Below are 16,620 nucleotides of genomic sequence, written 5' to 3'. Positions count from 1 at the left end.
CCTCACAGTATTCCCATCCCCTGACCAATGCCTGACTCCAGAAGTTTCTGAGTGTTTGCTGGCTGCTGAGCTGTAGTGATGGAGCTGTATGGTAACAGAGCTGGAGATGACCCAAGTTTCTCTTGTCCCACTCCTTGCCTGATGGCACCAACCCCACCACCTCCCCAGGCAGAAGACTAAGCCAAAAATGGTTACTAAATAGTAACCACCCAGGAAGCAACTTGGGACTTGGAACTGGGCCCATTGTTACTTAATGCATCCTCTCCCCACCCCATAAATGAACTTGGACACAGTCAAGTCGCACTATAATGAAGTGGCAAAGGAGATGGAAGTGAAAAAGAAAAACAGCTGACGTATCTAATTTTCCTAAGACATAGAAAAACGGGCTGCAAACAGAAAAATGAGGCTTAGCTAGGAAAAATGTAAACAAGATGTTTGGGGAAAGGCGTCTAAAACCACCCAGTCTTCAGTGGACAGGAAAGACCCAGCTCCTCCCGGGTCATCACAGAGGGTGGGTTGGAAAGGTGGGCAGAACAGAGCAGAGGGTGGCCATGGGTGGTGTGGGGCTACCAATGATGCATGCCTCCTGCCAAGCAGGCACCTTCACAACCCGGTGGGATGGACCCAGATGAGACGGATAACCAAGAAGGCTAGGTACAGGGAGAACCCCATCTTCCCAGCAGGAAGAACTTTCCACACAGACCAGGAAGCAGGAATTCTGTAAACACTAAGGCTGCTAGCTACCGTCCCTTTTAATGTTTTAGTGGTGATGACAATGCAGTAAGAATGTCAGTGGAGTCAGTTATTGGTTTTTACTCAGTGTCAGACACTGTCTTACAGTCTTTTCCTGCCTTCTCACATTTTACTTTCGCCACAACCTATCCACTTTTTGCAAATAAAGAACTTGAGGCTCAAAGAAGCAACTAGCAAGTGTGAGACCAGACTTTGCACCAAGGTTGGTCTGAATCCAAAGCCCATATCTTTCCCCTATTATATTCTTCTGGTTTACTTAGCAATAGTAATAAAAATACTGATACAAATACTTATACCTTGTTGACTGCTCACTATGTAATCAGGCACTTTGTGTACGTCATCTCACTTAGTAACCACATCAACCATATGAAGTAGTTCCCATGATTCCACCTGGATTACTATTAAGAAAACTGAGCATCAGAGAGACTAAGTAACGAGGCTGAGGTAAGTGTTCTAACAAAGTAAGTGTTCTAACAAAGATTAGAAGTGTTCTAACAAAGATTAGAAGATTAGATTAGTAAGTGTTCTAACAAAGATTAGAACCCAGACCTACTGGCAGAAGGGCTGGTGCTTTTAGACATCATGCTCTCCTGCCTTAGAGAGGTGTCCTATGTCCTTGCCCAGAGGAGAAAGCAGATGGGATCCATTACAGATTCAGATACTGGGGCAGTTGGCTTGGCAATCTCAGGCCATGTAACTGGGTTCTGCCACAGGGCCTCCACCCAGCTGGGCCTTCCTCTCGACTATCCACATTCAACATCTAGCAAGGGGAGTGCCTGGCACTCGAGTGGATTCCATTTCCAAGTGAGATATTCTTTCCTACCCCAGAGGGGTGGCAGCTGTGTTGCTCTGCCTTCCCAGAACCTGTGTTAACCAGTTTCACTCCAGACATTTGCTTCTGGTGATATCAATGTCTTAGAAGGTTCCTGTTGTTGGCATAAACCCAGGGCTGCAAATTATAGGCCACTTCCAGTTTTTTTTTTTCCTCTATGACTTTGAAAGGCCAGCCATCACCTCTAATGATGTGCACATCTCCTGTGAACCTGGATGCCTTCCTAGATAAACAACAAAGTCTTACAAACACAACTTACTCCCAGGCCCAGAGAGTTCCTAATAAGCCAATGTTGGTGTGTGTGGGTGTGATGAGACCCGCGAGAAGTCCCCAGATGGAGATTGAAGAAGTGGAAATTCGGTGCTAATGCTAATTCTTCATTTAGCACTGTTTCAGCCATAGTTAAAGCGTGCATTGGGGCCTTAAAAAGGTTATGTTTATAAGGAAGAAGGAAGACAGTCCATGTCTGACTTGCTGAACATGCAAAACGAAAACAACAACAAATAAAGTAACCCTGGAACTCCTCCTGCCTGGGTTTTTGGGTTTTTTCCTGGAGATTCCTTGAGGGCATTTTAAATATAATCCAAGAGATTTTTCTTCTGTGGCCAGATGACCTGGGCTGGGTCTTCATGCCACCATTTACTAGCTGTATGTATTTGTATCTTAGACAAATAACCCCCATCTCTGAGCCTCAGTGGCAGCATCTGTAAAAGAGGGATATGTAATAACAGAACCGTCCTCATCAGTTATCAGGAGGAATAAATGAGTTAGCCCAGGGGAAATGCTGAAAGCATTGCCAGACTTGAGCGTGCCTCACAATCATGCAGGACTCATCAAAACGCAGATTGTGGCTGGGGGCGGTGGCTCACACCTGTAATCCCAGCACTTTGGGAGGCCGAGGCGGGTGGATCACCTGAGGTCAGGAGTTCGAGACCAGCCTGACCAATATGGTGAAACTCTGTCTCTACTAAAATTACAAAAATTAGCTAGGCATGGTGGGGTGCGCCTGTAATCCCAACTACTCAGGAAGCTGAGCCAGGAGAATCACTTGAATCCGGGAGGCGGAGGTTGCATTGAGCCAAGATCGTGCCATTGCACTCCAGCCTGGGTGACAAGAGCAAGACTTTGTCTAAAAAAAAAAAAACAGATCACTTGGGCCCTAACCCCAGAGTTTCTGAATCCATTAAACTTTGCTTCTCTAACAGATTCCCAGCTGATACTGAAGCTCCTGGTTCGGGGACCATACTTTGAGAACCTTCAGCTTACAACAATGCCCAGCATGTACGTGCTTGAAAATGTTAGCCGTCACTACCATTATCATTAATTCTGTTCTCCTTATAGCTCTTCAAGAGCCTCAGAGAAAGTCACCTTATTGCTTTCCATATTGAACAAAAATTTCCCGACGCTTCCAACTCAGTTTCTACTTCTCATGCCCACTGAATCACTGAGTGTTTCCACTATTTTAATACCACGTTGTTTCCAGCATCTGCTCCTACCTTTTATGCCTCCCCCATCAATGCCCTAAGCCTGGCTCCTGCCATTCCTTTCTCTTCTACAGTAAATCACCAAATTCCATATATAATGAGTTCTTGCAAATACATACTTGTGTAGAATACCACACTTCCATGATTTAGGAGGAATTCTGTCCTCATAGAGCTTGAAAGGATTATAAAATCCCTAATTACACCTCATCTTCAGAGCTCATTTTCGGGTGATATATTTTCAGCCTTTGGTACCCATGTGTTCCTTTCTTCCACAACTGATGTGCAATAACCTGAGTCCAATGAGGATAAAGATTTGCCACTTCTGCAAGCCTATTGATTTTCATCTTTATCTCAATTATATTAAGACCTGTGGTCATCAATGTCAAGATCCATTTTTTTCCACGGAGACTCATAAAGTATGATAAAAGTACAATCAAAGTATTCAACTAATTGTACAAAATTCAAATAATTGCTAAGGAGATTAAGAATGGCAAAGCTGCTGAGAGGTGACCTCTGACAGGCAGCGAGCCCCACAGCGAGTAGCCCAAGACACCCAGGGGTGCTTCTCGAAGCCCCCAGTCTGGCTCCCCCTCATTCTCGCCCCTCACAGTGGCCAGTGGGAGCTTCTAGGCCACCCCAAAGCTTATAGATTCCACAGTGCTGTTCTTCTCTAAGTACTGGCCAAATCAAAAAATGCAACCTCTGATGACCTCTCACCTAAAAACATAACTTCTCCTCTGTCTTCTCACCAGATCCCCGCTCCACTTGTTCAAAGCCCCCCTGTGTAGATAGGCCCCAATTTTACCTTCAAAGCAGAGTGTATGTGGAATTCCTTTTACTACTTTCTGTTCACCCAATTAGCTCTTTTTCCATTTTGGGAGTCCTGCTTGTTAGAGGAGCCTGTCCAGCTGATCAAAGAACAGCTGAAACTTCTCTCTCCTCCTCAATTTGGATTTAGAAATCACAAAAGTTACCTTCACCACTCTTGATCTTCTCTCCATCCAGCTTGCCGTGAATCCTTAGAAGTCCTACCTTTGTCCCAACAAAGTATAATTGCCTTTTCTGGGCCTGATTTAAACTCTTTGCCATCCATCCGGGTCTTCAGTTAACGCTACACTCCTTCAGCTCTCTGCCATATGCTGTAAACTCTAGGGGAAACTGGCCTCCTGGGACTCTTGCAGATATGAGCAGCAAATGGAAAAATACATATATATGCATACATGCACACACACGTACACATACATGCACACAAATGTATCTCACACATTACCAGGTATCCATGACCTATTGACAACGGTAGTAGCTAAGTTTCCTCTCTTCCTAGTATTAACCCATTCAAAGCCACTGACTCTAGCCTGAGTTTCTATATCAAGCAAAACTCCAGTTCCAACAAAAGGAATTGAACTTTCTGGGCTTGGGGCAAAAGCTTATAACACACAAAACAAAGCCAGTAGATACAGAATAGCAGAAAGTGCAATCTGCAAACACACCCATGCTCTGAACCACCAAGATACCTAATGAGGTAAATAGGAAAATCCAGAACGTTTCATATCATCAGTTTCAAAAATTACAAGAAACCAATTATCCCTCAGAGCTGTTACTAGTATATAGTGTTTCTCTCGGAAACCCCAATTTTCCTTCCGGACACAATTCAAAACAGAGGGAAAGGGAAAAAAATCAATACTGGAAATGTCAGAGACTTTTCCAGCCAGTGCCTTATGGACGTGTAGCTGGGCTTCTGCAGATCACACAGCTTGTCTTCTCTGTGTGCAGGCATGAGATAAGCACAATTTTCCTACCTGCTTTCTCTTGGCCTCACCTGGGGTCATTTTCATTATTCCCCACTCAGGACATTCTGTGTTAAGACTCACAGAATGTAAATGAGAATGTTCGCTTTCAAAAGCAGAGCCACAGAAAGGGCTGTATGAGTGGCAAGCTCAGAGTTGGGGGTCAGGGTGAGGAGACAGACTTGACTGCTGAATGCAGATGTCTAGGCATGGCCATCTGAGCCTCTGCAATGCAGAGCCCAGCACCCAGGAAGCCCATCTTTCACCTTTCCCAACAGCCAGGTCCATGGTTTTGGTGACTTTCCTGTCCACCCCTGGGTTCCATTCCTCATCTGTCTCCAGGCCTTCCTTCTGCCCCTTTACTGGAGGAACACACTTTCTGGAGTTCCTCCTGACTTTCCCTCCTGAAACGACATCTGACAGTCAAATGTGAAGGCTAAGCTCGCCTCTACAAGCCTTCCCTCTGGGACGTGTCTCCTTATATGGAGATTTCTTCTGTAAAGTGAATGGTTTGAAACCAGCCCATTTTTAAGCAGTGCCTGGTAATGGGCTTTCCAAATCTGAGTCTCTGTTGAACCACCTGCATGACTAGGGCCAGAGCCAGGGCCACCTACATGATTATTCTTTGCATACTATTTTTCTTATATCAATCCACTTTTTAAACAAGTAAATACGTTTAAAACAGAAACCACAGCAACATAATTTACACTAAGTGGAATGGAACTCAATGATCAACTCAATGCCAACAAAATAATGTTAAGAAATCCTAACTAGTCAGCATCCCTAGCTGAAGACACTAAGTTCGAGGACTGCTCCTCCTTCTTCAAACGAGGGAGATTTCCAAGTCCTGGAGGAGGGGAGAGGACACCATGGTACAACTCAAGATCCTCTCTAGCACAATCCCAAGGGCGAAAGGAAAATAAAAGAGGAGAGCAGTTTCTAACCACAAGCCCTAATGTTATTTAATGTCATTGCACGCATCGCCTAAAATCATTTCAGTGATCTGTGGCAGAAAATCCCTCCCTCTCTCCCAGGAAGGTTTACTGAGTATCTACTTTGTTCCAGGAACTTTGTAGGGAGTGGGGAACCAAAAGACTAAAAAAGAAAGAAAAAAAAGCTGTGTGCCCACATGACACTTAAAATCTATTAAAAAAAGAAAAAAACAAAACTGTATCTAGGAGAGCCTTCTTTCCAGATCAGCACCTTAAATAAACTTCGATTTAAAACTGTGAAAACTAGTTCTCGCCCCACACCCCAGCAAGAGATTCTGTATTCACAAAGCAGCATTTCTGATTATGTTCCCGGTAGGAAATGACAAGTGGTTATTAGTTGTTAAGCATCTGGCATGCTTCGTAAGCAGTATTAACCGCCCCCAAAAACCTCAAGGCTTCCCAGATAAACAAGTCCCCACCCAAACACCCTTTCCTATCTGTCCTAGGGGTAACCCCCAGCACCAAAAGACAAATGACATTTAAAACCTGATTGAAACCACACCAAACCATGGAGCTTTTAAATGTCAAGGAGGAAGGCAATTCAACCCAGCAGGTTTCTCCAGGACTGACTGAAAAACCACTTCTCTGTAGTTAGCTTTAAAAAAAATCAATCAGTAGAGACAGCAAGAGAAGAGAGTGAGGCCAAGACTGACCTTTGAGTCAAGGGTGACTGAAATGATTCACATTTGTGACTAATTATCTCTCTCTTAATCTTTATGTTTGTCTCTCCCTGAACAGGAGCTGTCTTCCAAGCAGCTGAGACATATGACCCGATTGAATTCCAGGCTTCTGTTGGGTCTTGGTTTGTCCAGATTTAGAGGAGCTGTCCGTGTGTGTGTGTGTGTGTGTGTGTGTGTGTGTGTGTGTGTGTGTTTAAACAACTGACATGTCATTCTTTTAAAGTGCACATAAAAGTTTAAGCTTCCTGAATCTCATAAAGAAAAATTATAAAAGGATGCCTGTACTGTTTTCAAAACCTAAAATCTCTTTAAACTGTCTTAAAAGTATGCTCTATTTGGACACAGAATAACATTGCTAACTTGAAACCAAGATGTTAGGCATTTCATGCTACTTTCCCATTAAAAGAGATGGATTACACCTTAGAATAACACATAGGCACTTATATAAACTTAATAAGCACTTATTACTGTCTTACTCTCTGCTAGTCACTGAGCACTTTTTATAAATAACTTATTTAGTCTTCACGACAACCCTATAAGGTTTGGTCCTATTACTGCTGTTTCACAGAAAAGGAAATACAGAGAGGTAAAGCAACTTGCTCAAGGTCACATAGCTAGTAAGTGGCTATGCTGGGCACTGAACCCAAGCACTCTGCCTCTAAAGGCTGTGATCTTGACCACTACCCTATACTGCCCCCCTACACACTACGTACAGAGTGCTTTACATGTGTTATTTCACATAAAGCATATAATAAACTTTTAAGGTAAGTTGTATTTTTAGTCCCATTTCGCAGATGAGGAAACTGAGGCACAGGGAGGTGAAACAGCTTGCCCACTCAGCAAATGAGTGAGAAGTAGGGATTCTGACTTCACTAAGGTGCCGTCCAGTCAGTGACTCCTTGTCACTCAACACTCCCCATTCCCTCTCCACCATATGCCTTTGGTTAGAGTCATGAAAACAGCTTGCGTCTGTGAATTAGAAACTATCCTCTGATTGGTCCTGGAACCTTAAACTCACTAGCTTTATACCAACAATGTATAGACAGGGGAGAAGTCTGACTGATCCAGACAATGGATCCAGATGTGGTATGATTCAGGGTCCCCTGGGGGACCCCCACTACCCAAACTCTTTCAAGGGATCCCCATGGTCAAAACTATTTTCTCGGTAATACTAAGCTATTTGTTTTTTTCCCTTACATTCTCCACGAGTTTACAGTGGAATTTTCCCAAAACTACGTGGCATGCAATATCATTACAAATTGAAAGTGAAGCAGATATAAGAATCCAACTGTCTTCTATGAAGCCAGACAATGCAGAGATCTCCTTTCTATTTTATTCTGAGTTGTTTTTCATAAAAATGTAATTAGCACTAGTATGTAATAGGCTTATTACTTAAATACATTAAGACATATTTTAAAGCTCTTCAGGTTTAATTTCTATTATGGTAAAGATAGACATAACCCAAATAAGCAATACGTTTTACGAGTGTAAAGGGGTCCTGAGACCAAAATGCCTGAGAACTGCTGCATGAGACTGTGATCTCCATTAACTGCTGGGAGACACAGGAGTGGTGCCCCTCTGCAACGTGCAGCACACAGCAGGGACTTGAGATACGTAATTTTGTCTGTTGAAGGAATGTCCAACTGTACAGTATTGGCCACCCCTTTTAGGTCCATGCCCCCACATGCATGATAATGATGGATGCTCAGATCCACACAGCTTACCTGAAAATAGTCTGTAATGAATGATCCAAGTTCACTCTTCAACAGCCGCCTGGGGAGAAGGGAGAAGAGAAACACCGTCAAGCAGCCCTTGATGGTACAGCTCATGGTGACAATGTGCTCACCAGTGGCACGGGGTGGGGCCAGGTCTGAGATCTTGAGGGCACTTTCTTAGGTCCTGGTCCCCCTTCCCCCATTGTTATCATGGAATTGCAGTGATGGGAAGCCTAGAAGGAGATGCGTTCCTCAGTTCACTCTGAGAAAGTAGCACTGTGAAGAGGGCAGCTGGCCAAAGGAAATCCTAATTCTAGCAGAGCTGGTAGGGGCAGGCCAGGGCACCTGACTTTATATGAAGCAAAAAGAAGGAAGAGAAAGATCATCATTTTGCACTCCTCCACATTTGCAGAGCACTTTATAGTTTAAAACACATTTTTCATACATTCTTCAACTAAGGATTATAAAATGTATGTGGGGTGGGGTAGGAGTAATTATTTATTATTATTATTTTTTTGAGACAGAGTCTCGCTCTGTCTCCCAGGCTGGAGTGCAGTGGCGCAATCTTGGCTCACTGCAAGCTCCGCCTCCTGGGTTCATGCAATTCTCCTGCCTCAGCCTCCCGAGTAGCTGGGACCACAGGCGCCCGCCACCATGCCCGGCTAATTTTTTGTATTTTTAGTAGAGACAGAGTTTCACCATGTTAGCCAGGATGGTCTCGATCTCCTGACCTCGTGATCCGCCCGCCTCGGCCTCCCAAAGTGCTGGGATTACAGGTGTGAGCCACCGCGGGTAGTAGTAATTATTATTCTTCCTGTACAGATTTTTAAAATTATGCCTCAGAGAGTTCCCCAAAATAAGTCAGTGGCAGAGCCAAGATGTGAACCCAGACTTTCTGCAAATTCAACATCTTTTCCCATAACTCCACCCTGTCTCTCCTCCAAATCCAGAACCCCCTCCCCTCACCCTAACTTAAAATTCAACTTGGTACCATGGTTTGGGTGGTCTTACAACCCATGCCCAATGGACTGAGGCAGTCTTCCAAGGGGACCACAGCAGGGACAATAGAGAGATTTTATTTATCCAGCAACGAAGATGTATTGAGCAGCTCTTTATGTGTTACACGTTGTTCTAGCACAAGGAGTTCAAAGGTGAATGAGACAGACAAGGTCTCTGCTCTCTTCTTGGGGGCTGATGGATAGATAGCACGTTAATAAATATACTCACAAGATGATTTCAACGAATCTTAAGTGCTAATAAAATACAAATGGAAAATAGGGATATTGACACCAGCTCTCCTTTTCCCTGTGACAAATAATGGAACTATCCATACTATTCTTTATTTTGATCCAGACAAGGTAAGGGAACAAAAAGCAAGAATAACTGGCTCCCCAGATCCAGTGAGTAAACCCTTCATGATTTCAAATGACTTTCTTTGCTCATCCCATTGGCTATGGCTATTAAGGAGCAAATGCTCAAGTTTCTGACGACGCTTGCTGAGTATTCACTCCCCCAAAACACGTTCACTCATGTCACTGAAGGATAAACAGGAGGTTACAGCAAGATGTTATGTGCAGAGAAAACAGGCACAATAAAATTAAGACAAAAGAATAGAGAACCACCCATGATTTGAATTACTGTAGCAGAAAAAGCCCTGGAAAGCCACAAACACACGTTGAACAAAGAAAATACCTTCCTTTTCCCATGACAGAATATTTGTCTGTTGTGGATGCTGCATTTTGAGGGCCAATTTAAAGGCAGTCTCATGGAGGGCCACCCTGTCAACACAACCCAGGAGTTCTCTCAGATGTGGGCAGGTCTGATCCGAGAGGGAAGCCTTCATCAAAAGCCACTGGACTAAGAGCGGGTTGGGCATCACTAGTCTTTGAGGCAGAGGCTAGACATGTCTCTCAGACAGGAAACAGCAACCTATGGGGCAGCCCCAAGTGGACGGAGGCTTTGAAACAGGAAGAGGTAAGGAGATTGCTTCTGACCACAGGAGGGAGAAACACCTCCTAACAAAGTCTTCGTCATCCTTGGGAAGTCTCAAAACCATAGGTGAAGAAGCCAAGCTTTGCGCACAAGTGGAAAAACAAGTCCTACTGATAGGCTACTTAGGAGAGAGCTTCCCAAGGAGATATCTTGGGTACTCATGATGCTGAGGGACTAATGTGCTTCTGAGATCAAATAATACGCTGTGGAATTGGTGTCCCAAGGAACCCACAGTGGGAAAACACTATGCTCATGAAGATGCCATGGGTAAGATTGAAAAAGAAAAAGGTCGGGGTTAAGGGGGACTTCAAAATAAAAAACTATGGACACACTCCTGGAGAGCAGCACGGAGGAGGGATCTATGATGGTGTAATAATTGTGAGTTTGGGCTAGATATGACTGAACAAGTAAAGGTTGCCCCAGGCATCTCACAGCGGGATGCAGAAAAGCATCCTGATGCTACCCAGTTGAGGAATCCAAGACATCTCCTCCCCTCCTATCAGGGAGGGCACGAAGGGGCTTCACTCTACAGGGAGGGTGGAAGCACAGCAGCCTTACATTGCAGCTAGGGTGCAGCAAGCCACAGCCAAGGCCAGAATTCTGCAGAGTGTCCCAGGAAGAGAAAAGTCTAGGTAGAAATCAGCCAATAACAGAGCAGAAGCTAAAGAGCAGACAATGCAACTTCCAAGACAAAGACTTAGCAGAAAGGACTCTGAAGCTAGAAGCAGCTGTAACAGGGGGGATGAGATGGTAATGGTTAGGAATAAAGAAGTAGAACATGAAGAGGGGCCTTTCGCCATGCTGATAGTGATAACCATTTCTTTACTGAGGAGGAACCAGACACGATGTGGTAATCTGCTTTATATACTTTAAATGTAATGGGCCATAGCCAGGTACAGTAGGAGAACCACACACTTGTCCTTTTATAAAATCCAGAATGCAAAACCTTCTCCACTAGGTACTGTTCATAGAATTATCTGAACAGAAAAGACCTTTCTTAATAATTTAAGTCAAGATTCTATTGCTCTACCTGGGCAAATCAGTAAGCTACACTGCCCTTATCCCTTACAAAATCCTGCCTTCTGTCTGGGCATGATAACATGGTTAGACAGGGTCACATGTTATATATATATATGCAGAGTTTTTCATTGCAGCAAAATATAGAAATCAACATAAATATGCACCAATAAAGTGCTAATAAAAAGATTATGTTCATCCAGGCAATGGAATTCTATGCAACTATTTTAAAAAGGGTGTGAAGAAGTGCTCTAAATAATATGAAAGATCTAAGTCATAGTAAGCAAAGAAACAATGCAAGATACAGAACAGTGTGTACATACAACAGGCTACCTTGTAAAATGGGAAGAGAAAAATAAGAATACACATTTTAGTTTACACAACACTAACATATTTGTTGGTCAATTCCACTCTTATAACTTGCTGTTCAAGTCTGTATTACTATATGAAGGGGTTTCCCCATAGGCCCTTAGAATTGAAATATATAGCTCCTTGATTTTTAAACACAGAGAACACATATGCATTTTATTTATTTTTTAATTAATTAACTGTTTTTTATTGAGACAGAGTTGCACTCTGTTGCCCAAGCTGGAGTGCAGTGGTGTGATCTCAGCTCACTGCAACCTCTGCCTCCCGGGCTCAAGCAATTCTTATGCCTCAGCCTCCTGAGTAGCTGGGAGAGCAGGCGCGCAACACTGCTCCTGGCTAATTTTTCTATTTTTGGTAGAGATAGGGTTTCACCCTTTTGGGCAGACTGACCTCAAACTCCTGACCTCAGGTGATCTGCCCACCTTGGCCTCCCAAAGTGCTAGGATTACAGGCATGAGCCACTGTGCCTGGCCCACAGATGCATTTTTAAAAATCATATGTAAAGAAGCACTGGGTTGTGTGTCCTCTTCTCTATGTCTACATGTAAAGCCTTGGAGAAGCTTGAAGTTGTTGCTGGAAATTACGTAAGGCAACACAACACTTTAGCCAGCTTGATTCCCTGAAGTTTGAGGAAGATGCTGTCCCACAAACACCACATCACCAGAACCCAGTCTAGTCCACAGACCCTGTAGAAAGTATCCAGTATCTACTTTAAAGTTCATATGGAACCAAAAAAGAGCCCGCATCACCAAGGCAATCCTAAGCCAAAAGAACAAAGCTGGAGGCATCACACTACCTGACTTCAAACTATACTACAAGGCTACAGTAACCAAAACAGCATGGTACTGCTACCAAAACAGAGATATAGATCAATGGAACAGAACAGAGCCCACAGAAATAACGCTGCATATCTACAACTATCTGATCTTTGACAAACCTGAGAAAAACAAGCAATGGGGAAAGGATTCCCTATTTAATAAATGGTTCTGGGAAAACTGGCTAGCCATATGTAGAAAGCTGAAACTGGATCCCTTCCTTACACCTTATACAAAAATTAATTCAAGATGGATTAAAGACTTAAACGTTAGACCTAAAACCATAAAAACCCTAGAAGAAAACCTAGGCATTACCATTCAGGACATAGGCATGGGCAAGGACTTCATGTCTGAACACCAAAAGCAATGGCAACAAAAGCCAAAATTGACAAATGGGATCTAATTAAACTAAACAGCTTCTGCACAGCAAAAGAAACTACCATCAGAGTGAACAGGCAACCTACAAAATGGGAGAAAATTTTCACAACCTACTCATCTGACAAAGGGCTAATATCCAGAATCTACAATGAACTCAAACAAATTTACAAGAAAAAAACAAACAACCCCATCAAAAAGTGGGCGAAGGACATGAACAGACACTTCTCAAAAGAAGACATTTATGCAGCCAAAAAACATGAAAAAATGCTCAGCATCACTGGCCATCAGAGAAATGCAAATCAAAACCACAGTGAGATACCATCTCACACCAGTTAGAATGGCAATCATTAAAAAGTCAGGAAACAACAGGTGCTGGAGAGGATGTGGAGAAATAGGAACACTTTTACACTGTTGGTGGGACTGTAAACTAGTTCAACCATTGTGGAAGTCAGTGTGGCGATTCCTCAGGGATGTAGAACTAGAAATACCATTTGACCCAGCCATCCCATTACTGGGTATATACCCAAAGGACTATAAATCATGCTGCTATAAAGACACATGCACACGTATGTTTACTGTGGCACTATTCACAATAGGAAAGACTTGGAACCAACCCAAATGTCCAACAATGATAGACCGGATTAAGAAAATGTGGCACATATACACCATGGAATACTATGCAGCCATAAAAAAATGATGAGTTCATGTCCTTTGTAGGGACATGGATAAAAGTGGAAATCATCATTCTCAGTAAACTATCACAAGGACAAAAAACCAAACACCGCATGTTCTCACTCATAGGTGGGAATTGAACAATGAGAACACATGGACACAGGAAGGGGAACATCACACTCTGGGGACTGTTGTGGGGTGGGGGGAGGGGGGAGGGATAGCATTAGGAGATATACCTAATGCTAAATGACGAGTTAATGGGTGCAGCACACCAGCATGGCACATGTATACATATGTAACTAACCTGCACATTGTGCACACGTACACTAAAAGTATAATAATAATAAAATAAAATAAAATAAAATAAAAAATAGAAATAAATAAAATAAAGTATACAGTATCATCAGCTGTGTTTCCATATGTATTCCTTATACATGCATAAAGAAACTCTGGAAGAATACCCAATAAGCTACCGTTACTAATACTTATCTTTAAGGAAAAGAGAATGGAAAACTGGTTTCTGGGATACAGGGGTGGAGACTCTACTGTATACCCTTGCTATATGCGTAAAATTTTTGAACCATGTCAAAACAATCCTATTCAGAAACAAATTTTTAAGATTCTGAAGTTAATAACCACCACCAAGGTTACCGCAGCATGGCCAGAAGCCCGAGAAAGAATCGCAGGAGTAAGTCCCTACCAAGGTCATGACATCAGGAAGCAGGGTGTGTACCAGCTAACAGAGAATCCCACAAGTCCTGGGAATCCACCAATCCAGACCTGCCTCAAGCTGGTAACCCAAGAACCCTTGTTCTCAGGACTATAGAGAGTGAAGAGATGAGGAAAGGGGGCCAGGAGTCCCCAGCAGTGCTGGCTAGGCCAGCCTGTGAGCAGACTGTGGCTGAGTCATGTTACAAATCTACAATCCATGTATATACTCTGTTTATTCTGCTTGCATTGGTTTATAAGGAAAGAATGCTTCTGAAAAAAACCTCTATTCTTGTCTCAGCTGAATTGAGAGAAGGGGATTTTCCACACCTCTGTTCCGATACACCATCTCCAGTGGAACTTGGCAGACGCTTCCTCACTTAAAAGCTACCTTCCCCCCACCAAAAAAAGAGGAACTCAGAGTGGAGACCCCATTCATTAATTCTTTGAATCTTAGCCATTTACTGAAAACATAATGTTATGTGTTAGACATGGTTCTGGATGCTAGAAGAAAAGGATGAAACAGAGCTCAATGATTTCTCCTGGGCCCTATGAGAGAGTGATCTGGGCCACTCTCTTATAGGGCACAGGAGGTTCATCTTACCCAAAAGATGACAGTAAAAAATATCAAGGCATTAGACACCTAGGCCAAAATCACAATGGGACAATTCACCCTGTAGCCTGACTTACTTTTACCAATTTAATTTGTAAAGAACAAGAAAGAAGAGAAAAGCTGGAGAGAGACAGCCAAATTAAAGAGGCTGTGGTTTGTGGTTCCCTAGATGCAGGGAAGATGAAAATCCCGATTCCTAATACCTAGGCCATAAGCTCCTTTGAGGCTCAGGCCTAGAATCTGGCAGCCTTCCTTCCGCTTTTCCCACTCTATCCTAGGGTTGCTGCCCTGTCAACAGAAAAGCAATTACTTGTTAGAACAAACAATCATCATCATCATAACGAATAATAAACAAATTGCTCCTAGGATGGAACCCGGCATTTTTTTCTCCAATTAAAGTTTATTGAGCACTTGCTGGGTGCTGGACACCACTGTCAACAATGTAGGCGTTCCCACATTTAAGCCTAAAACAGAACTGTAAGCAGCAATAATATCCTCAATTTTAATATACAAGGAAACTGACCCAAGCAAGCACAGGCCAGAGATAACAAGTGTCTTGTTGAGATCAGGGAGCCCAGAGCTGCCTGGCTCTGCATCCTGGCAGCCACTTAGTAGCTGTTGTTAGCAATGACCCGGGAAAATTCACTGATTCTTCATACTTCAGTTTCCTCACCTAGAATGTGGGGAGGATAAGGATACCTACTTCACAGGATTACTGCACAAGTAAAATGGGTTAATCCTCATCAAATTGCTAGAACGCTGCCTGGCCCACAGCAAGGCTTGGCAAGCATGAGCTACTATGATTTCACCCAGGACTCTGAAGCCCTGGGTCTTGAAAACTCCAGCCCACTGCTTCTCGCATCTTCCTACAAGTATAGCCACACTAGCATTTCCTACACTGGGATTGAGGACCCAGGAGAAATTCATAAAGCAGGTAATATGTTAGGTAGGGCCAGACTAGCTGATGAAAGGATAAGAAGGTAGGAAGGTGGAGGCAGAGCTTTGGAGAAAAGAATTGCCGGGACGTGTAACTGACATGAAAGCAACCCCTCAGCCTCAGCAGCCCCCATATGCCATCTGTTTCACATATTGGACTTCCATGCCTGGTTTCATTTGAAAACAGAATTCTGCTGCTACCAACCACCACCACAAGCCACTGAGCTAGAAAAAGGGAAGCCGGGAGCTGAGGGTAATGTGAAGGGGACACTTACACGGGGCCTGACCAAAATGAGAAACTGGGCGTGAAGTTCAGCCAGAAGCCAAAAGGAGCCATAACAGGGGGAAAAAATGGGGAAGCACTGACTGGTCTACATTATCTCACCCTTTCTCCCTCCCAGGCTGACCAGCTGAGACACCACCCCAGTTGACAGGATTTCCTGTTATTACACAGACCTGCGATCTCACGCCTCACCGTCTTGTCAACTCAACTTCCCACTTCTGTGGGCTTAAAGGTAAAGGAGGCATTACTAAAAGCTGGAATCAAGCTGGTGGAGAGGCGCAGGGACAGCAGGATGGCAGCAGAGTGGGCAAGCGCGGAAGTGACAGAGGGAAATCACCTCGGATGGAGTCAGTCTGCCTTGCACACAGAGAAAGACCCAAGGTGGCAAAATCCCGCTGCTTGTCCCAACTCTCTTCCCACATGAGGTTAAAGACGATGAGGCAGCTTGCAAGAAGTGCTGCAGGTTAGCCAAGATGAGTTGGAATAACCATATCAGTAGTTAATATTTCTGCGCCATCTGGCAAGTAGGGTTTGCCCCAAGTTCTCTGGCCCTGCACCCTGGCCCTTTGGTGAGATCCGCCCAGACCGCCTCAA

At 43.7% G+C, this 16,620-nt stretch overlaps 1 protein-coding gene across 4 annotated transcripts in view, besides 1 other annotated feature; it reads right to left on the bottom strand.

Moving 5' to 3' along the window:
- Window positions 1-16,620, bottom strand: part of PRR5L (proline rich 5 like) — a 168,917-nt gene that overhangs the window by 37,649 nt on the left and 114,648 nt on the right. For all 4 annotated transcript variants that reach the window (NM_001160167.2, NM_024841.5, NM_001160168.2 and 1 more), the window contains one exon: window positions 8,253-8,301. In NM_001160167.2, coding sequence (NP_001153639.1) covers window positions 8,253-8,301 — 49 coding nt within the window. The remainder of the gene's footprint in view (window positions 1-8,252; window positions 8,302-16,620) is intronic.
- Window positions 16,023-16,317: an enhancer, noted in NCBI's record as "tiled region #14138; K562 Activating DNase unmatched - State 8:EnhW". NCBI's record gives its function as "activates a minimal TATA promoter and a strong SV40 promoter by Sharpr-MPRA in K562 cells {active_cell/tissue: K562}" and the evidence as "EXISTENCE:reporter gene assay evidence [ECO:0000049][PMID:27701403]".

Source organism: Homo sapiens, chromosome 11 (assembly GCF_000001405.40).
Source record: "Homo sapiens chromosome 11, GRCh38.p14 Primary Assembly".
Lineage (NCBI taxonomy): Eukaryota > Metazoa > Chordata > Mammalia > Primates > Hominidae > Homo > Homo sapiens.
Note: the sequence above shows the minus strand (reverse complement) of the source record. Positions and strands in the feature narration are given on the sequence as shown.